General features: G+C 42.4%; 1 protein-coding gene across 19 annotated transcripts in view, besides 1 other annotated feature; it reads left to right on the top strand.

Annotated features, from left to right (window-relative positions):
• ARMH3 (armadillo like helical domain containing 3) overlaps positions 1 to 22,581 on the top strand; it is a 210,575-nt gene that overhangs the window by 74,796 nt on the left and 113,198 nt on the right. For 18 of the 19 annotated variants that reach the window (XR_001747199.2, XM_047425735.1, XM_011540157.3 and 15 more), the window contains one exon: positions 6,078 to 6,166. Coding sequence is in view for 17 of the 19 variants with exons in the window: in XM_047425735.1 (XP_047281691.1) it covers positions 6,078 to 6,166 (89 nt within the window). In the remaining 2 variants the exon portion in view is untranslated. Of the gene's footprint in view, positions 1 to 6,077; positions 6,167 to 8,871; positions 9,351 to 11,133; positions 11,208 to 22,581 lie in introns of those variants that run through there. The other variant, XR_007061987.1, reaches the window with a different exon arrangement.
• Positions 7,622 to 7,771: an enhancer, noted in NCBI's record as "active region_3919". NCBI's record gives its function as "activates an Ori minimal core promoter by ATAC-STARR-seq in GM12878 lymphoblastoid cells {active_cell/tissue: GM12878}" and the evidence as "EXISTENCE:reporter gene assay evidence [ECO:0000049][PMID:35858748]".

The following is a 22,581-nucleotide window of genomic DNA, read 5'->3' as shown; positions in this document are numbered from 1 at the left end:
TGCTAGGATTACAGGCGTGAGCCACCAAGCCTGGTCAGTTGTTAGGCATTTTAATTCCTCTACCTGGTGTCTCTGGCTCTCATTCTGCAGAGAGAGGTTAGTAGTGTTTTCTCTGCTTTCTTCTTTTCTCCTCTGGTAAGAAGCCCAAGAAATTAGCTACCCCTGTTTTTTTTCTTTTTCTTTTTTTTTCATTATTTCTTCTTAAAAAAACAAAAAAACGATTACATGTGCAGAATGTGCAGGTTTGTTACATAGGTATATGCGTGCCATGGCCTATTGACCCATCCTCCGAGTTCCCTCCCCTCACCCCCCAACCCCCCAACAGGCCCTAGTGTGTGTTGTTCCCCTCTCTGTGTGCATGTGTTCTCAATGTTCAGCTCCCACTTATGAGTGAGAGCATGCAGTGTTTGGTTGTCTGTTCTTGTGTTAGTTTGCTGAGGATGATGGCTTCCAGCTTCATCCATGTCGCTGCAAAGGACATGATCTCATTCCTTTTTCTGGCTGCATAGTATTTCATGGTGTATATGTACCACATTTTCTTGATCCAGTCTATCATTGATGGGCATTTGGGTTGGTTCCATGTCTTAGCTATTGTGAATAGTGCTGCAGTGAACATACATGTGCATGTGTCTTTATAGTAGTAGCTACCCCTATTTTAGCTTGATTCCGTCAGCTGTCAGATTGATACCCCACAGATTAATGTGGTGTCTGCTAAAGTCAGTAGGGTCTTGGGATATTCTTTGTCTCGGGTTATAGCCATAGAACTTGAAAGAGTCTCAGGCTGGGCACGGTGGCTCCCGCCTGTAATCCTAGCACTTTGGGAGGCTGAGGTGGGCGGACCGCCTGACGTTGGGAGTTTGAGACCAGCCTGGCCAACATGGTAAAACCCCATCTCTACTAAAAATATAAAAATCAGCCAGGCATGGTGGCAGGCATCTGTAATCCGAGCTACTTAGGAGGCTGAGGCATGAGAATCACTTGAACCCAGGAGGCAGAGGTTGCAGTGAGCCGAGATCATGCCACTGCACTCCAGCCACTGTGACAGAGTGAGACTCTATCTCAAAAACAAAAACAAAACAAAACCCCCGAAAGACAAAAGGAGGAGCCGGTTTCATTTACCTGAAACTAGCAGTTTACCTAGGTTCAGTTTTCTAGGAACTTTATAGCTTAGTATAATAAGACTTAAGCAATAGCATTCAGTTGGTATACAGTCAAGATTTGTTGAATGAATGAATGAAAAGGGTAGGTCTGACAGTTTCTTCTAAACCTTTTGGTTTGTGTGATGAGCCTGGAGTTCCAGAGGGGTACAGTCCAAGCCTTGGGCCTGTGGTTGACCAAACCCTCCCTTAACTAAAAAAGTCCTAATTTAAGTACTTTTAAGGCAGCGAGGATATGACAAAGTGAGACTTAGAATCTGGATTTAGTTAAGACATTGCATTTTAGGCCATTTAGAAACCTCTATACACTAGGGATTCTAAGGGCTGAGATCATAGTTAATTGAATGTTGAATTTGTGAATTTAAATTGAAAATAGGAAATATAAAAGCTAATCCTCTCAAATGAAGAGTATCAATTTATCCACCTAACATAGGCTATTAAAGTGGACATTTAATGGCTTAATCAAGAATCCAAGCATACCTAGTTATAGAATATATGAAATGAACATTGCCGTGAAAGCTGTAAATTGCATATCTTGACAAATATTTGGAAAACGTAGGCCACAGAGTTTTTTTTAAGCAGCTTTAAATTATACAATTTAGTGTTTTTAAAATATATTCACAGAGTTGTGCAACTATTACCACAAACTAATTTTAGACCATTTTCAATCGACCCTTGCATAAAGAAATCCTGTACCCAGTAGTAGTTACTCTTCTGTATTTCTTCCTCTGTCCTCTCCCTCAGGCCTAGATAACCCATGTCTACAAAAATTAAAAAATCTACTTTTTGTCTCTATGTATTTGCCTATTCTGGACATTTTATATAAATGAAATAATAGAATATGTGGATTTTTACTACTGACTTATTTAATTTAGCATACTATTTTCCATATTCATCCATGTTGTAGCCATTCCTTTTTATGGTTAATATTTCATTGTCTAGAATACAACATCGTTGTATTTATTCATTCACTAATTGATAGACATTTGGGTTGTTTAGACTTTTTGGGTATTAGGAATGCCACCATTACTGTTTGTATACCAGTTTTTGTGTGGACATATATTTTGTTTTATTTTTATTTTTTCTAGAGACAGGGTCTTACTCTGTTATCTGGGCTGGGGTGCAGTGGTGCAATCATAGCTTCAAACTCTGGAGCTCAGGCGATCCTCCTGTTTCAGCCTTCTGAGTAGCTGGGACTATAGGTGCATGCCACTGCACCCAGCTATTTTTAAATTTTTATTTATTTTTATTTTATATTAATTTAATTTAATTTTATTTTTTGAGATGGTGTCTCGCTTTGTTGCCCAGGCTGGAGTGCAGTGGCGCCATCTTGGCTCACTGCAACTTCGACCTCCCGGGTTCAAGCAATTCTCTGCCTCAGCCTCCTGAGTAGCTGGGATTACAGGCGCCTGCCACCACGCCCAGCTAATTTTTTGTATTTTTAGTAGAGACGATGTTTCACCATGTTGGCCAGGCTGGTCTTGAACTCCTGACCTCATGATCCACACACCTTGGCCTCCCAAAGTGCTGGGATTACAAGGCATGAGCTACTGCGCCTGGCCTAATTTTTTTAGTTTTTAATTTTTGTAGACATGGGATTCTGCTTTGTTCCCCAGGCTGGTCTGAAATTTCTGGCTTCAAGTGATCCTCCTGCCTTGGCCTCCCAAAGTGTTGGGATTACAGATGTGAGCCACTGCACCTAGCCTGTTTGTGTTTTTCTTTTGTATACACCTAGTAGTGGAATTGCTGGGTTATGTGGTAGCTCTGTATCTAACATTTTGAGAAACTCCAGACTTTTCCAAAGTGGTTGTACTATTTTTATTTTTATCAATATTCTTTGAGGGTTCTAATTTCTCTACTATTAACTTCCCTCTGTGATGTGAGAGCCAGAGACACTAGCTAGAGGAATTGATGTGTATTTATAATTCACCATATGAATTTTGGGGGACAGATGTCAATCTGGAACATGTGTGTAATGATTTACTTGCTCTTCTCCTGGCATCAAATGTTCTTTCCATAGTTGTTTCCAGTTTTCTTTTATTATGAATGCTGTTTCTTTGTAAGCATGAAATCTATGTTCATTTGATATGCAAAAGTAGAATCATGTTTTAATATGCCTTTTAAAAATGAAGTTGAACATTATAGAAAAATGTTGACTTTCCCTGTTCCCCTTTTTTGGGAGATGGAGGAATTTGTTGACTGTTTCCTTGGCCTATCTTTGTTGTTAGAGGTTGTCTTAGTCTGTTTGCTGTTGCTATAACTGAATACCTGAGACTGAAAAATTTATAGAGAAAAGAAATTTATTTAGGTTCACAGTTCTGAAGACTAGGAAGTCCAAGTTCTAGGGGCTACATCTGGGTGAGGATCTTCTTGCTGATGGGGACACTCTGTAGAGTCCCAAGGTGGTGCAAGGTATTGTATGGTGAGGGGGCTCAGGAGAGAAAGCCAGACTGGCTTATATAACAGACTTACTCTCATGATAACTAACCCACTCTCATGATAACCCATTAATCCATTAACCCATGAGTGGATTAATCTATTCCTGAGGGCAGAGCCCTCATGACCCAGTCACCTCTTAAAGGCCCTGCCTTTTAATAATATTACATTTGCAATTACGTTTCAACATGAGTTAGAGAGAGGGCAAACATTCAGACTATAGCAAAGGACACTGTTTTTATCATCTATGTATATAAACTTCTATATATTAAACATAGTAACTCTATTATATCATTTGTTGCAAATGTAATTTCCCATGTAGTTTGCCATTTAATTTTAATCATTGAATTTTTTTTTATTAAATTATTTGTATTTTTAGGAAGTAAGTTTCATCAGTATTTACCTTTATAATTTCGTCTGGCTTTTTAACCTTTCAAAATCCTATCTCAGTCAGAGATGAAAAAAATGTTTTTGGTAGGTTTATAATTTTTAAAAATATCATTTATCTTAACCTCAAGCTACTAACTGCTTATTTGGAAATACTCTCAGAAACATATATGTCATTGAGATGTGAATAACCCTGAATATTCCAATGATCTAGCAGAATGCTGTCCAGTAGAAACTTTTGTGATAATAGAAAAGTTCTATATTTTTTTGTGTTCACTATAGTAGCCATTAGCCACATGTAGCTATTGAGCACTTGAAAGGTGGTTAGCACAACTGACAAACTGCATTTTTAATTTAACTTTTAATATAAATAGAATTTAAATTTTACAGTTTGCAGCAAAAAAAAGAAAAGAAAGGAAAAGAAAGAAAAAGAAACAGAACTTCTGGCTGAGCATGGTGGCTCGTGCCTGTAATCCCAGAACTTGGGGAGGTCAAGGCAGGTGGATCACTTGAGGCCAGGAGTTCTAGACCAACCTGGCCAACATGGTGAAACCCATCTGTACTAAAAGTACAAAAAAAAATTAGCCGGCTATGGTGGTGCATGCCTACAGGGTGGCTGGGAGTATAGGCTTGTGCCACCATGCCCAGCTAATTTTTTAATAGATTTTATTTATAAGTAAGACTGGTATCTTAAATTATATATTTAATTAAAAATTTAATTTAAATAAAAACCACATTCAGATAGATACAGAGAGTTAAGGTCTTTACTTTTGTGTTTTTGCATTCCATGTCACTATACCACTTTGAGTAGAATAGTTTAATTGTGACCCACTGGTTTATCCTTTTCCCCTGGAAAGGTACTCAAGGGAAAGACGTCAGTGGCGCCTAATTGATTATTGACTTATAAGTAGTTATAGCACCCTTTTCCCATTGATAAGGGGAATGGGTAGCACAAGCAGTATGTGATTGCGTGTGTGTGTGTGTGAGAGAGAGAGAGAGAGAGAGAGAGAGAGATTGATTAATCTACTAGAAGAAGGCAGAAGTTCTTTTTTTTTTTTTTGAGACAGTCTTGCCCTTTCGCTCAGGCTGGAGTACAGTGGCCCGATCTTGGTTCACTGCAACCTTTGCTTCCTAGGTTCAAGCGATTCTCCTGCCTCAGCCTCCTGAGTAGCTGGGTCTACAGGCATATGCCACTGCACCTGGCTTTTTTTTTTTTTTTTTTTTTTTTTGAGACAGAGTCTCACTCTGTCACCCAGGCTGGAGCGCAATGGCGTGATCTTGGCTCACCGCAAGCTCCACCTCCTGGGTTCATGCCATTCTCCTGCCTCAGCCACCCCCCTGCCCTCCCCGAATAGCTGGGACTACAGGCGCCCGCCACCACACCCCGCTAATTTTTTGTATATTTTTAGTAGAGGCAGGGTTTCACCTTGTTAGCCAGGATGGTCTTGATCTCCTGACCTCGTGATCTGCCCGCCTCGGCCTCCTAAAGTGCTGGGATTACAGGCGTGAGCCACCGTGCCCAGCCTATTTTTTTTTTTGAGATGTAATCTCGCTCTGTTGCCCAGGCTGGAGTGCAGTGGCACGATCTCGACTCACTGCAACATCTGCCTCCTGGGTTCAAGTGATTCTTCTGCCTCAACCGAGTAGCTGGGACTACAGGTACATGTCACCACACCCAGCTAATTTTTGTATTTTTAGTAGAGATGGGGTTTCACCATATTGGCCAAGCTTGTCTCAAACTCCTGACCTTGTGATCTGCCTGCCTCGGCCTCCCAAAGTGCTGGGATTACAGGCGTGCACCACCACGCCAGGCTTTTTTTTGTACTTTTAGTAGAGATGGGGTTTTGCCATGTTGGCCAGGCTGGTCTTGAACTCCTAGCCTCAAATGATCTACCTGCCTTGGCCTCCTAAAGTGCTAGGATTACAGGTGTGAGCCACCATGCCCGGCCAGAAGTTTTGTATATTTTTTTGCATGTATACATATTCATATCCAGTGTCTTTAGTGGCCTTAGCAAAGCTGGCTCACTAAGAAGGGATCTCTGGTGAGTTGCACTATATTCTCAGGCTTACCCTCATTTTTTGCTTTCCCTGTTACAGACGCTGCATCCAGGTAGTACACAAACTGCTCTGCTACCAGAAGAAGTGTCGGGTACGCCTGCATTACACCTGGCGGGAGCTCTGGTCAGGTAACTTTCTCTCTTGAATTCATCTTCCTTTTTCTATACCTTTTTTGAGCCCCTAGGCCTGGGCTCAAGGTGGATTTTTTGTTTTTTAACCTTTTGGTTTGTTTAGGTTGCCTTTATTTTCAGTTACTCTTTTTGTCTTTTTTTTTTTTTTTTTTTTTTTTTACGTTTTAGCTTTTTTCGAATCCAGACCTGGGTGTGTCACATGTCTATTCTTTACTTTGTCCCTTGTTCCTTCCCCTTCCTATATTTTTTGTCAACTGGTAAAAACAATTGAGTATTTCTTGTGTTCCAATAAATCTTCCTTTGAGTAAGAATGAGGTAGGAGGAGTCGGTACAAACTTGGGTTCTCACTCGGTTTCATTTGATAGCCGCATATGGACTGTAGGGAGGCTTCTGTGTGTTTCTTCAGGAATGTCATAGGGAGAGATGGAGGGATGGGGACGGGGTGGGGAGATGCGGGAATCCTGTTCTTTGTGTTACATCTGGCATTATTACTGTTTACAGACAGTGTCACTTGTACCACTCCCCCTGTGCCAGAGACAAAACAGCAAATTACAGTGTTTACTTTTGTCTTTCTAACCATTTGGTAGCCCAGTAAAGTCACTGCTACCCCTGCAGGGGGGAAGTGCCTCTTCTCTAAGGGTACAATTAATGCTGGCTTGCCACCCCTTTCTTTTGTGTGACTAAGTTGGAGGTTTCAGGAAAGCAGAGGAGACATGTTCCCTGAGGCAGTTGCTTGCTACTAGGTCCTGTGGCTTTTGAGACCTGATGGTACAATAAAATCTTCTCCAGATGATTACAGTGATGAAGGGTTGCCCACCCATGGGAGAGCTGCTCTGTATTTTCAGCAGAATAGGGTGTGTTAGTGTCAGAGCCTTTATAAGAAACAGGCCAGTAACCCAGCCCCCTTCCATGGAATTCATCTCATTCGTTGTGACACATGATTTCCTCCCAACCCAGTTTGGCTTTCTAAATTTAGTCCTCCATAATGGGAAGTAGAGATCTTTAGTTAATGGATTAGCAAGTTTTTGCAGTTACTGCCTATGGTGGTAAAGGGGGAGTAGGAGAATAACATTAAGTGGCAATAGTGGCATTTTGATATTTTAGGAGAGGAGAGTATGATTGTGTGAGAGGTTGAGATTGAAAGAATGTCAGGAGAGTTAAAGAGAGATCAAAAGAGATGGAAATGACCAACAGTAGAATTTCTTAGGTAGCAACACCTCCTTTTAATATAAAGGACTATTATTGCTGCCTATGGATAGTTGTATGATTGTTAGGCTCTAAAAGCATAGGATTAAAGAGAAAACACAATAATGATGCAGATCTTCAGATGTTGGTATAGTTGTTGGATTTATAATAAGTACACATGGTTTATGTCTATAACTTGAATGAAATTACACATTGTAGTACTAAACAAGGTGGTAGTAGTAGTTGTTTCCGCCTGCATCTTCTGATTCCCTTCTGGTTTTACTTTCTCTTTCATTCTATTTTCTTTCCTTTTTGTCCTAGCTATTCTATCTCTGGCCTCTGTGATCTCTGTGGCTTTTCTCTCATTCTCGTGATCTGTTGTCCTCTTCCTCATTATCCTGTTCCATTGTCTTGTCCACATTGCCTTCTATTCTTCGTTCTGGTCTGTCTCCTGAGACTCAGGGCTTCCTGTTATTCTCCTCCTATCCCCATTTTGTATCCTCTGCTCTCTTGATGAATCGACACTTTTATTGGTATGAAGTGTTCTTTGTGTTATTATAGTCATGCATTTTACTTTTTACATGTGTCATAAACTCTAGAATACATTGCCCTCATTTTTGCTTAAACAAGCGATTATCTTTTTTCTTTTTTTTTTTTTTTTTTTGAGACGGAGTCTCGCTCTGTCGCCCAGCCTGGAGCAGTGGCATGATCTCGGTTCACTGCAAGCTCCGCCTCCCGGGTTCACACCATTCTCCTGCCTCACCCTCCTGAGTAGCTGGGACTACAGGCACCCACCACCAGGCCTGGCTAATTTTTTTTGGATTTTTAGTAGAGACGGAGTTTCACCGTGTTAGGCAGGATGGTCTCGAACTCCTGACCTTGTGATCCGCCCACCTCGGCCTCCCAAAGTGCTAGGATTACAGACGTGAGTCACCATGCCTGGCTGCGATTATCTTTGAAAGAGATTTAAAAATGTCTTTTATATTTATCTTTTCTGACTCAGCATTTTTTTCTTCTCACTAGGAAATGGTGAAGAAGAAGGCCATTCTTTATTCTGTGTTGGTCAGTTGACGTTATGTCTTTCAGAACTTTCAGCTCTATTTATAATTATGTCCTATTCTCAGGACTGATTGCATGACAGTCTAAGGCCCTTGATGAGCTGAGGGGAAGTATATATGAGTGTCCTTAGGCATGGACCATTGCTTGTCGCGAAGGCATCTAGACATTTGTACTGGAGTTCTCTGCTAAGTTGACGTTAGCTCCTTTTCCTGTATAGGCTGGGTGAGCCCTCCTGGAACCCTGGCTCCGTGTATTCATATGTGGAACATACAGTGAGATGCAGAGCAGCAGGTGTTAAGGAAAGCTGCAAAACACAACGTTGCATCCTATGCAGTCACATGTATAATATTGCATTCTGTGAATACAAGTGTGTCTATGGCAGATCCACCTACCTCTTAGCAGGCACTACCCCTCGTATGTTGGATTGCTCATGTTTTCACTCTTTCTTTGCCTTCTAGACTTATGGATTTGAGGGAGCTGTGTGAAACTCATCATGGCAAATATGCTTATGTGTATATATCCTTTGCCATACATGTGCTGCAAACTGTAATGAAATGTTATTTATAAGACTGGTAAGGCATGTGTTATTAGACTGGACACACAAAAGCCCTTGATTATCTAGGAAGCAATCCTCTAGGGTCCAGATGTAGTTTGGAATGTGGGTGTTTAGTATCACTGTACTTCATTACTGATTTTTATTTCTATGCTGTTTGACTGTATTAGCTCTTTGTTATTATTGGGGAGGTAGCCAGAGGTCTCCAGATTCCCATAATGAATTTACAGGTGTGATCTTATGGACAAGGAGGAGTCAGCTGTATTAGTTGGGGGTTCAATCTTGCCTGATAAGCTTTTCCTAGTTGGTTTTACAGATACGAGCCCTGATCTACTCCCTGCTGCCACTGTCTGTTTCTATGATGCATGTCACCATGATATCTGAGTATGTATGAAAATATATTTAGGCTAATTTTAACTAGAATATGGAAAGGAAAAAGTTCTATTGCTCTGCATTGCTCTGTTTTCAGCAATCACTGTTTTTCACCACATATAGAAAGTTTGAAAGCTCTTCTCTGATGTCTAGGCAACCCAGATCTCCCAGTCTGAGTAAAAGATTAGATCTTAAAACTCTCCACTGATAGAGGTAGAAAACTGGGTTTTGGGATAAGATCATACTGAAATAGTTCTTTACTTTTGAGAATAGAATGAAAGCTACAGTCATCTTTGTATTCAGAAAAAATGTCCATTTGCACATATATATTTTGCATATAGTTTCACAGAGTTTCTGGATCCTCTGAAGCCCCTTGTGTCAAAAACCTCTGTCTTAATTTTAAGTTCCACAGCCTCCCAATTAATCCTGTTCTCACAGAAATCTTAGTATCTAGGTAAATTATTTTATTTTATTTTATTTTATTTTTTTGAGAAAGAGTCTCACTCTGTTGCCTAAGCTGGAGAGCAGTGGTGTGATTGCGGGTTCAAACAATCCTCCCACCTCAGCTCCTGCCCCAAGTAGCTGGGACTTAAAGGCACACACCATTATGCCTGGCTAACTTTTGTAAAGATGGAGTTTTACCATGTTGGCCAAGCTGGCCTCAAATTTCTGACCTTAGGTGATCTGCCCTCCTCTGTCTCCCAAAGTGCTGGGATTACAGGTGTGAGCCACTGCGCCCGGCCAGTATTTTTTCTTTATTTACTAGTCACACTGCGCTCCTACTGGGAACTTTAGGTTAGCAATCTCCTTTGCACTTCTTGAGGCTATAGACCATTTTGTTCACTATGTCTTATTTTTGGAGTGTTTTCTATAGCATATTGGGCCCCTATTTTAGTGTATCACATTGTTTTGCTATGTTTGCTTTTTTTTTTTTTTTTTTTTTTGGAGACGGTCTCACTCTGTTGCCCAGGCTGGAGTGCAGTGCCACAGTCTCAGCTCACTGCAACCTCTGTCTCCTGGGCTCAAGTGATCCTCCCAACTCAGCCTCCTGAGCAGGTGGGACCATAGATGCAAGCCACCATGCCCCAGCTAATTTCATATGTTTTTACAATGATTTGTTTAAATATCTATATTTCCTCTCAAAAAAGTTCCTGGAGGGCAGGGCCTGTTTTTTAATCATTGTTACATCTCCAGCAGACTGCTTGGCTATTTATTTATTTTTTGAGACAGGGTCTTGCCCAGGCTGGAGTGCAGCGGCACAATCATGGCTCATTGTAGTCGCGACCTCCTGGGCCCAATGGATCCTCCCACCTCAGCCGCCCAAGTAGCTGGGACTACAGATGCGTACTACCATGCCTGGCTTATTTTTGTATTTTTTTTTTTAGAGATGGGGTTTCATCATGTTGCCCAGGCTGGTCTTGAAGTCCTGGACTCAAGTGATCTGCCTGCTTTGGCCTCCCAAATTGTTGGGATTATAGGCATGTGCCACAGCACCCGGCCTACTTAGCTTTTTAATAGGAACTCAGATAACATTTGGATGAACAAATAAATGGATGAATGGATATGTAAGATTTTCATTAATGATGGATCAACATTCTCCAAAAGCAGCACAATGTTGTGTTTGAGCCGAATAATAATAATAATAGAACCCAGTAGGATGTTGTTAATGTTTCTGTTGAGCTGACATCATCACCTTTGATAGGGCCAGCCATCCACCTTAGTTTATTTGATTTGTTGATGTGAGAGAGAGTAGTTAGTAATTTCTTTTGTTTTTCTCATTCTTCCTTACCCACAGGTGCATGGATTGCTTTTAACCAAGTAAAAATGGAAACTTTGATGGTTTCTAAGCCATTAAGCAAAGATTGAGCAGGATGTGCAGAGAGAAGTGTGTAGTTGTTGGAGAGAGAAATACTTGAACAGAGCTTCATGGAGTCAGCTTATTTTACTTCCACTGCAGGAAGAAGGGGCATTGGAGAGGCAGGCTGCATTTAAATAGTATGACTTTCCATCGTCTGAAAACATGGGTTGTTTTAAAGGCAGATTTATACTGACATTTTATATTCAACATTTATCTATGGATCACAGTTGTTACCCTCTCACTCTGCCACATCCCGGTGATAAGTCGTTATTTTTATCCCCATTTGTTGGGGAAGGGAGTAGAGATATAGAAGGGTTAAGTGACTTGCTAAGGATCATGGAACCAGACGCTAAACAGAGTCATGATTAGAACTTAGAGTTCCTGACTCCTATGCTCAGACACAGATCACTAAGCAACATTTGCTTGCCTGCAGGAAGAAAGGCCCCCTAAGCCCCCAGAACAATCTGTTCAGCTTCACTGTGCTAAGTAACATCCAAAGCATTCACAGCTTTGTGAAAAAGAAATTGTACATGGCCTGACCTTTTAGATATCTACTGGGAAAAATGGAAAACCCAGGGAGTATCACAGCGTTCTGGATCCAGCTGGCTCTCCTATTACTGGCAGAGGCCTATGACTTCTTGGTTAGGTACATCTCAAGACTGGCAATTGAGAGCCTTTCGTTGGAAGCTTGTTTTACTTTTAAGTGTTGCCATACAGGACTGAAATTTTTCAAGAGAAAGGCTGACTCAAGCCATAGATTTATCTGGCAGTTCTTGTGTAGATGTAGCTTTGATAGTTCAGCAGCCCCTCTTGATTTTGAGAAACTATGCTTTGAACTTTTCATTGTGTGCTTCTTTTAGTTTAGTTTCTTTTTTAAACTTTTAATTTTGATGTAATTATAGACTTACAGGAAGTTGCAAAAATAGTATATAGAGTTTCATGTACCCTTCACCCAGCTTCCTCCAGTGATGACATCTTATATAACTCTACAACATTGCTTCTTTTAGTTTTGAAGAGAGTATCCAGGCGGGAAAGAACATAGCAGTAAAAACTAGAGTAGATGGGAAGGGGAATTTTGGCAGCTGCTATTTCTATCTTGTTTTTAAAATTGCTCTTCCTCATTCTGCTAAATTTTCTCTGATTTAGGCAAATATGTCACAAGATATATTCTAGGCTGATGTGCCTAATTAAGACTGCTTTAGCTTCCATATGCAAAAATAGAGAGCCTCTTTTCCTCTATGGGTGATCAATTCCTCTCAAAATTAGAATGTTCTAATTCAGGGGCATTAGAAGGTATCTTTCTGGTTCTATAATGTAGTTATGAAATATTGTCTACAGCAGTATAGAAAGCCCAAGGACTAAAAAGGAATGCCAGGAAGCTTTTTTCCCTTTCAAATCACTACATTTGGCTGAATCCAAAATTTACACTATTTTGAATCTTTCTCTCATCCCCTCAGAAACTTGGCAGAAGCAAAAGATAAGAATCTCTAACAGGTTTAGCCTGTTACAGGGAGAAAAAGATTCCCACGTAAAAGCCCCCAAAAGAGCAAGAAATCACTTTGTTCTTTTCTCTGTGCATGCAGTCACTTCCTATCCAGAAAAATGTCAACTCTCATAGGCCCATGAGCATTTTGTCAAGTAAAAGGGACCAGGGAAGGATTAGCTGTGCTTTTGGTTACTCTGCCTATATTAGTTTCAAAGGGACATGTCATGTGGTTTCATAAGGTATCATCCTTCTCTGGATCTCGAGGGAGCAAGACAAGTCTGTTATTGGTCCTACCTCATTTTGGCAAAAAGTAAAGTTATTGGTTCTGTGTCAGATGGCTCCACTGAGACATGGTCTCATTGACTTTTAGATTTCTTAAAGGGTGATTTTGGCTATCACTCCTTTAGGAAACGGTGGGGGGAAAGGAGCAGGTGGTATAGGGCCCTAGAAGAAGGCAGTGGCTCCTGAGCATGCTTGGTTAGAGGCAGCTGCACAGGGACCCTACATTTCCCAAAGTCTAGGATCTGGGAACTTTCATGTGGAAACTCATTTTCATGAAAAAGAAGAGGCTGGGTGCTAATTGTGAGGTTTGCATTGTCTGCAAGAAAATGGGGAATGGAAGATGGTTGAGAACCTTATTTATTTTTTTTTTTTAGCAGATACACATTGACTGCAAGGAAAATGGTAAGGATGGAAGCAGATTTCCGTTTAAAGAAAGGATTTGTTCTATTTCTGACTCATTTAGAGGAATGTGGAGCCTTTAGTCAGTGCAGGCTGTTGACATACTGACTTGTGTGCTGTGTTCACCTGGAGAGGCTGATAGCATACAGCCAGAGCCATTTCATTTTCTTGTTTGATTCTTTGGCCTCTGTGTCAGTGAAGTGCTTAGGCTTGCATCCAGACAGATGCCTGTATTCTGAAAAGCCACCTAGAGTTGTTCCCCGCCCCCTGCTCCCCCCACGACTGAGTCTTGCTCTGTAGCCCAGGCTGGAGTGCCGTGGCGCGATCCCAGCTCACCGTAACCTCTGCCTCCCTGGTTCAAGCAATTCTCCTGCCTCAGCCTCCCGAGTAGCTGGGAATACAGGCGCACACCACCATGCCTGGCTAATTTTTGTATTTTTAGTAGAGACGGGCTTTTACCATGTTGGCCGGGCTGGTCTTGAACTCCTGACCTTGTGATCCACCTACCTTGGCCTCCCAAAGTGTTAGGATTACAGGCTTGAGCCACCGCATCTGGCTGAGTATTTTTAAATTATTCTACTGGCAGGTGTTGGCTTCAGATTCTCTCCTGCACCACTCTGCTGATTGACAGTGAGCCTGCTGATTGCTGGCAATGTCCCTGGGTAATTGGTGATTTTGTCCAGAGATGCTGGAATTGGCTAGAGTTTATAGTGCTTCCAGGGTTTTGGTGGCATGAGCTTGTTACACTAGTGCTATTTTCATCGTGTCCTTTGAGTTTCTTGACTTCTCTCCTAAGCAACTGAGATGGTAATATTATTCTTTTATTAGTCACTGTGAAATTATCCATCTCTCCTAATGAACAGGTTTTGATTTGGGTTCTGTGGTACCTAAACCTAGCTCCATGCCAGGTCACAAAATCAAGTCTGGGTGAGTGTTGTCTTTGCTGTTTGTCTTCATAGCATGTAAAAGCTGCTCAAATAGACAGCTTTCTCTGACCTGATTCTTTGGAGATATTAGTTTGTGCTCTCCTGGAGGCTGTCTCTTTCCTGTTTTTAATCTTATTTAAATGTCATTCACTTGGTTTTATAATTAAGCCTCCCCTCTCCTTTTTTGAGGCAGAGGCCTGAGCTACCACTTAATTGTGTCTTCCTGTGGTTGGCTTGTTCCTCTCTGCACCTGGTTTACCTTAATGTGGGGGACAGGTTTTAGTCCTGGAGAAGTTCTCATATCCATTATTCATTCTACTGCTACATGGCAACACAATTTGCTGCTACCTTTTTTCCCTCCTCCTGAATTCAAAGCAGGATAGAAAAAATTCTGGGAAAGTTCTCATTGTGTATTAATGCTAGGAACAGCTCTGCAAAAAAGGTTCCTTGTGGGGTGTGTGTTGGGGGCACTGTGTAAGATGGCAGGATTCTCAGATGGATCGTATTCAACTCTTCCTATTTGAAAATTAGGGTGGGCTGGGCGCAGGGGCTCACACGTATAATCCCAGCACTTTGGCCGATCACCTGAAGTCAGGAGTTCGAGACCAGCCTGGTGGAGCCCTGTCTCTACTAAAAATACAAAAATTAGCCAGGCGTGGTGGCGGGCGCCTGTAATCCCAGCTACTTGGGAGGCTGAGGCAGAAGAATTGCTTGAACCCGGGAGGCAGAGGTTGCAGTGAGCCAAGATCACACCATTGCACTCCAGCCTGTCTCAAAAAAAAAAAAAAAAAAAAAAAAAAAAACCCAAACCAAAAATTAGCCAGGTGTGGTGGTGCATGCCTGTAATCCCAGCTACTCAGGAAGCTAAGGCACAAGAATCGCTTGAACCCGGGAGGTGGAGGTTGCAGTGAGCCGGGATTGCACCACTGCACCACTCCAGCCTGGGTGACAGAGTGAGACTCTGTCTAAAAAAAAAAAAAAAAAAAGAAAAGAAAAAGAAAAAAAAATTAGATTGTCTGCTTCTATCTCTAGGAATTCACGTGGGACTTAGGGAACCATCAGAGTGCCTGGTCCTGGCTCAGCTTCCCGAACCTGTACACTCTTCTATATTCTATCTGCATGTGCATACAGAAAAGTCAGAACTCTACACACTGTTGTCATACTCTTTCAGCAGATATGATGCACAGGACTCCCCAAGGAAGGGAACATGGGCTGAAGCTGAGTGTGAGACTGATAGTTGCCTCTAGTACAGAGTCAAAAGAGAGCAGTTGTAGCCAATTTGGAGTTCCTGAAAAACAGCCCAGAAAATAAGTTTTCAAGGGGCCTGGTATGAAAGACTTGCCAATGAAGAAATGAGTGTGTATTGAGCACTCACTTCCCTACAACTTAAACGTATTTAATGTGTAATATAATACCTCAAATATTTTACTGCAGTAATTTCTCAGTTCTTCACTTGGTGCAGAGTTAAGAGTACTTGGAACCTCATTAAGTATAACAGATGAAACAGCAAGGATTAGGAATCAAACCCAGAGTCCCTGAGGATTTTGTAGGATAGTGTTGGTATTTAGTGCATTGTTAGTTTGGATGGTGAACTTTGGTGATTATTTTGAAGATTGCCACAGTGTTGCCTTGAAGGCTGCCCGGGGTTCATTTTGAATTTGCATTCCTGCTCAAGTTCATGGGCTCTCTGTTGATTGAGTATATTTGGCTCCTTTCCTTTTACCTATCAGTGAGGAAGCATCTTTGTGTGTTTGTCCCTGTACTTAGTATGGTGTACTTTGACGTGAATGTCAGCCAGTCAGTTATGCAGAGGTTACAGAAAGTGAGACTGGAGTGTTTGTGAGGCTGTTGGGAGTGTCTGTGGAAAGAAAAACATTGACCTTTTGTTTTTCTTTTTAATTGGGGTAAAATAAACATAAAATTTATCATTGTAACTATGTTTAACCATACAGTTCAGTGGCATTAAGTATATTCACATTGTGCAACCATCACTACCTTCCATTTCCAGTACTTTTTTTTATCTTCCCAAACTGAAACTCAGTACTCATTAAACAAAAACTTTTTTTTTTCTTTTTTTGAGATGGAGTCTCACTCTGTCACCCAGGTGGGAGTGCAGTGGTGCAATCTTGGTTCACTGCAACTTCCGCCTCTGGGTTCAAGTGATTCTCCTGCCTCAGCCTCCCGAGTAGCTGGGACTATAGGTGTGTACCACCATGCCAGGCTAATTTTTTTTTTTTTTTTTTGGTAAAGACGGGGTTTCACCATGTTACAGGCTGGTCTTGAACTCCTGACCTCAGGTAATCCACCTTCCTTGGCCTCCAAAGTGCTGGGATTACAGGTGTGAGCCACCGTGTCTGGCCAGCAATAATTCTTAATTCCCCCTCATGCCAGACCCTGGCAACACTAATTCTGAATTTGATTACTCTGGGTATTTCATTTAAGTGGAATTAAACAGCATTTGTCCTTTTGTAACTGGTTTATTTCACTTAGAATAATATCTTCAAGGTTCATCTATGTTGTCAGAATTTTCTTCCTTTTTAAGGCTGAGTAATATTCTGCCATATGTATATACCATATTTTGTTTATTCGTTCATCTTTTGATGGACATTTGGGTTGCTTCCACCTTTTGGCTGTTGTGAATGATGCTGCTGTAAACATGGGTGTACAAATACTTGTTTGAGTTCCTGCAATCGCTTGTTTTTTTGAGATTGTGTGCGTTTAATTATCTTAGGCCAGTGGAGTGAAGTCCTAAGACATTTAGAGACATGTACTCTGAGCTGGCCAGGAGTGATGGCTCATGCCTGTAATCCTAGCACTTTGGGAAGCCAAGGCGGGCAGATCACTTGAGGTCAGGAGTTTGAGACCAGCCTGGCCAACGTGGCGAAACCCTGTCTTTATTAAAAATGCAAAAATTGCCGGGCGCAGTGGCTTACACCTGCAGTCCCAGCACTTTGGGAGGCCGAAGTGGGCGGATCACGAGGTCAGGAGATCGAGACTATCCTGGCTAACACGGTGAAACCCCATCTCTATTAAAAATACAAAAAATTAGCCAGGCGTGGTGGCGGGCGCCTGTAGTCCCAGCTGCTCGGGAGGCTGAGGCAGGAGAATGGCGTGAACCTGGGAGGCGGAGCTTGCAGTGAGCCGAGATCACACCACTGCAGTCCAGCCTGGGCGACAGAGCAAGACTCCGTCTCAAAAAAAAAAAAAAAAGAAAGAAAAAGAGAACCCCTACTTTAACGAAAGGGAAATGGCATAAAATAAGTAGGTCAGTAGCCTACTACCACCTTATTTTAAGTTGACCTTTTAAAACTACTACCAGGAGACAGCCAAGTGCAGTGGCCCATGCCTGTAATCCCAGCTACTCGGGAGGCTGAGGCAGGAGAATCGCTTGAACCCAAGAGACAGAGGTCGCGGAGAGCCGAGATCGTGCCGTTGCACTCCACCCTGGGCAACAAGAGCAAAACTCCATCTCAAAAACAAAAATAAATAAATAAAAAATAAAAACAAATAAGTAAATAGGCCAGGCACAGTGGCTCATGCCTGTAATGTCAGCACTTTGTAGGGCTGAGGCGGGTGGATCACCTGAGGTCAAGAGTTCGAGACCAGCCTGGCCAACATGGTGAAACCCCGTCTCTACTAAAAATACAAAAATGGCTGGGCACGGTGGCTCACACCTGTAATCCCAGCACTTTGGGAGGCCGAGTCCAAGGCGACCGGATCACGAGGTCAGGAGATGGAGGCCATCCTGGCTAACACAGTGAAATAAAAAATACAAAAAATTAGGCAGGTGTGGTGGCAGGTGCCTGTAGTCCCAGCTACTCAGGAGGCTGAGGCAGGAGAATGGCTTGAACCCGGGAGGTGGAGGTTGCAGTGAGCCATGATCGTGCCACTGCACTCCAGCCTCGGCAACAGAGTGAGACTCTGTTTCAAAAAAAAAAAAAAAAATGCAAAATTATCCGGGCATGGTGATGGGTTCCTGTAATCCCAGCTACTTGGGAGGCTAAGGCAGGAGAATCTCTTGAACCCGGGAGGTGGAGGTTGCAGTGGGACAAGATCATGCCACTGCACTTCAGTCTGGGTGACAGAGTTGAGCTCTGTCTCAAAAAAAAAAAAAAAAAGAAAAAAAGACATGTACTCTGAGCTTATAGGATTTTTCCTTTGGTCACTTTGTTATGTGAGGGGCTAATCAGTGGAATTGTGATCAAAGTATGGTTTTTGGTGGCAAATATAGATATTGGCCCTAGATAGCTCCTGTATCCCCAACAAATATTTTTCAAATTGAAGTTTGGGTGGATCCAATACAGTTTCATAGACCTCAGCAGTGGGAGTTCAGAGACCTTCTTCTCCCCAGCATGATTTGTCCTTAATGCAGTTTAGCTCCAACCAGCATATTGGCTTTGGGTAATTTATTTAACCTTTCTGAATTTTGATTTGCTCATCTGTAAAATGGGAACAATAATACCTACTTCATCAGATAGTTAAGAGGATTCAGTGAGAAGAATATAATTTAAGTGCTTTACATAATATCTAGCACCTAGCAAGCACCTAATAAGTGTTACCTTTCCTGCCATTTATGACCATGGTATTTCTTACTTTGAAAAGAGGTGAATGTAGTTTGAGGAAGGTGATTTCTGTAGTTAAGTGTCTTTTTTTAAGGTATCAGATAGAGGGTAAAAAAAAAAAAAGGAAAGTTTGAGATGCTCTGTGTGAGCTTCTGGACACAGTTATTAACTTGTAGTAGTTGTCATTCTTCTGGAGGAAATGATGCATTCCTCTGTGATGTGTCTCTTCACGTTGGTATTTTGGGACAGCGCATTCCCAGGGATGTGGAGTATGGGCCCATGGGCATTATCTCTTCAGGTTTGGAAAGTCTCAACTACCAAGCTTGCCCTTACCCAAAAGGATATTCTCTGCGACAAGCTATGCCATTCTCTTTTGAGGGAGTGAGCAGCCATTGCTCACCTAATGGGCAAAGCTGTTTACACAGTGTTAAGTTTCTATACCATAAGGTCATGCTTCGTTGGAAATCTCTCAGACCAGGAGTCAGGCCTTTGGTGAAGAATCCTGTATTAGCCCTTTTGCCCCACTTCATTTTAGAAACTATTATTTAACAATGAGAAACATGATAAGGCAAAGGATTAAATTAAATGGTACATCCTGTCCCTCATATCTTCATGACTGCAACATTTACTGTACTTGATTGCAAAGTCTTACAGATGTATGACTGATTAACCGTACTATGTTTATGCAATCATCCCCTTATTTTTTAGTTATCTTAATTCTTCCCTGTATGTACTGCTACTTCTGTGAGTGTCCTTGGAACAATTTGGCTGGTCATGTGCCCAGATGACATCAAGTGGACAAGTGGATCAAGGGCAGTTTTCTAAAAATGTGTGTGTATGTAGAGGGGGTGAGTCAGGAGCCTGTTAGCATGAGCTCTGTGTTGGCACTGAGATCCTGAGTGCCAGTTCTCTGCTGTCCTTGAAACTGCTCCTGACACAGGGCATTTTCTTCTTTGGCCTAAACCTGTCTTTTTTGGCATAAACCCTGTGCAAAGCTCGGTCCATAATAGTTTATAAATAAACCTGGTTATTAATTGTTTATACCCATATTTTTTTGTTTTGGTTCTGATTTTTTCTAAAGAAAGGGGATCTTGGCTCCCTTTAATGTCCATATCCAATCATCTTCCATTGGCAGTACCTAATTTTGAAGAAGGCAACACTGACTGAGGGAATTAGGAACAGTTTTAGTTGATAGTTATGTGCTTAAAAAAAAAAAGAGAGAGCAAGCAGCCACAAGGGATAGAGAGGTGGAGGTGAGAGCTGAGATGTAGATAAGACAGCAGAGAGCAGGCCAAGGAGCTGGCAGAGAGGCCTGCTGAGGTGGCTCGTGCTGAGCAAAGCTTCTGGGAGTCTTTTTGTGTTGCCAGTGAGTGACAGGAAGGCGATAATGAGGTATTAAATACTTGTACTTTAACAGGTAGCTGAGGACCAAGGGAAAATGGGGACCAAATACATGAAAATGACGTAGAGCAGCCAACAGGTGGAGAAAGTTATAAACCAGAGTCTAGAGAAGTGCTGATAACAGTATAGTCAGCAGATCTAAGCACACCATTTATAGTAAGCTGTAACCCCACTTTCACGTTCAGCTTGATCTCGCACCTTTATTTGTTTAATCTTCTTTTTTTTTTTTTTTTTTTGAGACGGAGTTTTGCTCTGTCGCCCAGGCTAGAGTGCTGTGGTGCAATCTCGGCTCACTGCAAACTCCGCCTTCCAGGTTCAAGCGATTCTCCTGCCTCAGCCTCACGAGTAGCTGGGATTACAGGTGCCCGCCACCGTGCCTGGCTAATTTTTGTATTTTTTAGTAGAGACGGGGTTTCACCATCTTGGCCGGGCTGGTCTCGAACTCCTGACCTCATGATCAGCCTGCCTCAGCCTCCCAAAGTGCTGGGATTACAGGCATGAGCCACTGTACCTGGCTTATCTTCTTAATGGCATGGTAGAAAGAACACTAAACAGGTGACAAGGTCCTAGTCCCAGCTTAGTCACCAGCTAGTTTGGGGTGAGGGTGGAATGGGGCATGGAGTTTTCTTATCCAAAAATGAGGAAATCGGATTAAATGACCTAAGGCATTTTCTAGCTCTAAAAATCTATAATCAGCTATGTCAAAGCCTCACAGACTTAAAACTCCCATCATATCAGGTCAGAGGCTAGAATCTGTGTGTAGTGGTGTATAGGACACTGAACAGTTGATATAGTGAGTGCAAAGTCAAGGAGATTATGATGGAGAAAAGCACTATTTCATGGGATATTTGGGACATTCTCTCTTGAAGAAGAATTACCATCTGTGATGTCAGAGGCTTCATTTTAGTTGCCTATTAAATTCCCTGTAGATAGTTCTTTTTTTTTTTGGAGAAGGAGTCTTGCTCTGTCGCCCAAGGTGGAGTGCAGTGGTGCGATCTCGGCTCACTGCAGCCTCCGCCTCCCGGGTTTAAGCAATTCTTCTGCCTCAGCCTCTCGAGTAGCTGGGCCTACAGGCGCACACCGCCACGCCCAGCTAATTTTTTGTATTTTAGTAGAGACAGGGTTTCACCGTGTTGCCCAGGCTGTTCTCGAACTCCTGAACTCAGGCAATCTGCCTGCCTTAGCCTCCCAAAGTGCTAGGATTACAGGCGTGAGCCACTGCGCCCAGCCCCTGTAGAGAATTCTTACTTCCAAGTGAGAAGACCTTGGTTCTTGGGGGAGCAGAATATCTGACCTGCATTTTCAGGGGCAGAATGCAAGCCACTCTGGCACTGACTCTCAGAGTATTGTGGTACTGGACTCTCCCTTTCAATACTCTGGCTCCGCTAATGCCTGTGGCAGTTGGGACACAGGTTGCCCGTGCCAGAGTTGCTCTCTTCCTCCTCTAATATTTCTCACTTTGTCATCCTGGATTCTGAATCCCAGAGATCAAGACTAGCTGTAGTCCAGCAGAGGAGCAATAAATCATTGCTCCCACATCCTTTCCTCCAGGTTTCCTGCCCTTTAATTACCACATAGCCACTGCTGAGGCTGCATCTCTGTGCTGTGTGTCCTGGGGACAAAAGCCCTTGTTGATGGGATGTGTGCAAAAGCTGCTTTGTCTCTAGCCATTACGTTTTGCAGAGTGCCAAGCGTGCTGCCCATCCCTTTCTCTCGCCTCTATGATTTTATAGAGTCCGATTGTCAGGTAGTATATCATTAACAGGGCTTGTCTAAACTCTGGGGATTAGGTGGTGGGGTGGGCAGCCCCCACGTAGCTCACTCAGCAAGGTGATCTTCTTTAAGGAGGGAAGTTTGGGTTAGTCATTTTTATGTGAATTTTAGCTAGCCCCATTATTCCTGTGCTCCTGGTAGGAGCTAAGCAGGTTGTGTGATCCTGAATGGGCTCCCTTGGAGCCTTTTTGTCCCCCCAGTCCAACAGATACTTGATCACTTAACAGACACCATTAAAAGGGCCAGCTGCCTATCATTTGCCTTTTCATTATGAAACCCCAGAGAACTCAAGTTGGGGCCGGGGTAAAGAGTTTATAAATGAAGATGCCTATCTCCTTCATGCCTGGCAAGGCTTTTTTTTACTATTTGAGGGGAAGATTCAGGCTTTAGAAACAGAATGTGGGTGAAGCCAGCCTCTTGTACTTTCCTTGCCTGCTGTTTCTTTACTGTACCTGTGCTTTTAAAGGATTGAGAGTGAGGGGTGTTGTGTGGTAGGCAGCAAGAGTCTGGAGAGTCTCACTCCTACTCATCATTCCCTGCTGTTCCAAATCAAAGC

Source organism: Homo sapiens, chromosome 10, assembly GCF_000001405.40.
Source record: "Homo sapiens chromosome 10, GRCh38.p14 Primary Assembly".
NCBI lineage: Eukaryota > Metazoa > Chordata > Mammalia > Primates > Hominidae > Homo > Homo sapiens.
This window is presented reverse-complemented; position numbering and strand designations above follow the sequence as displayed.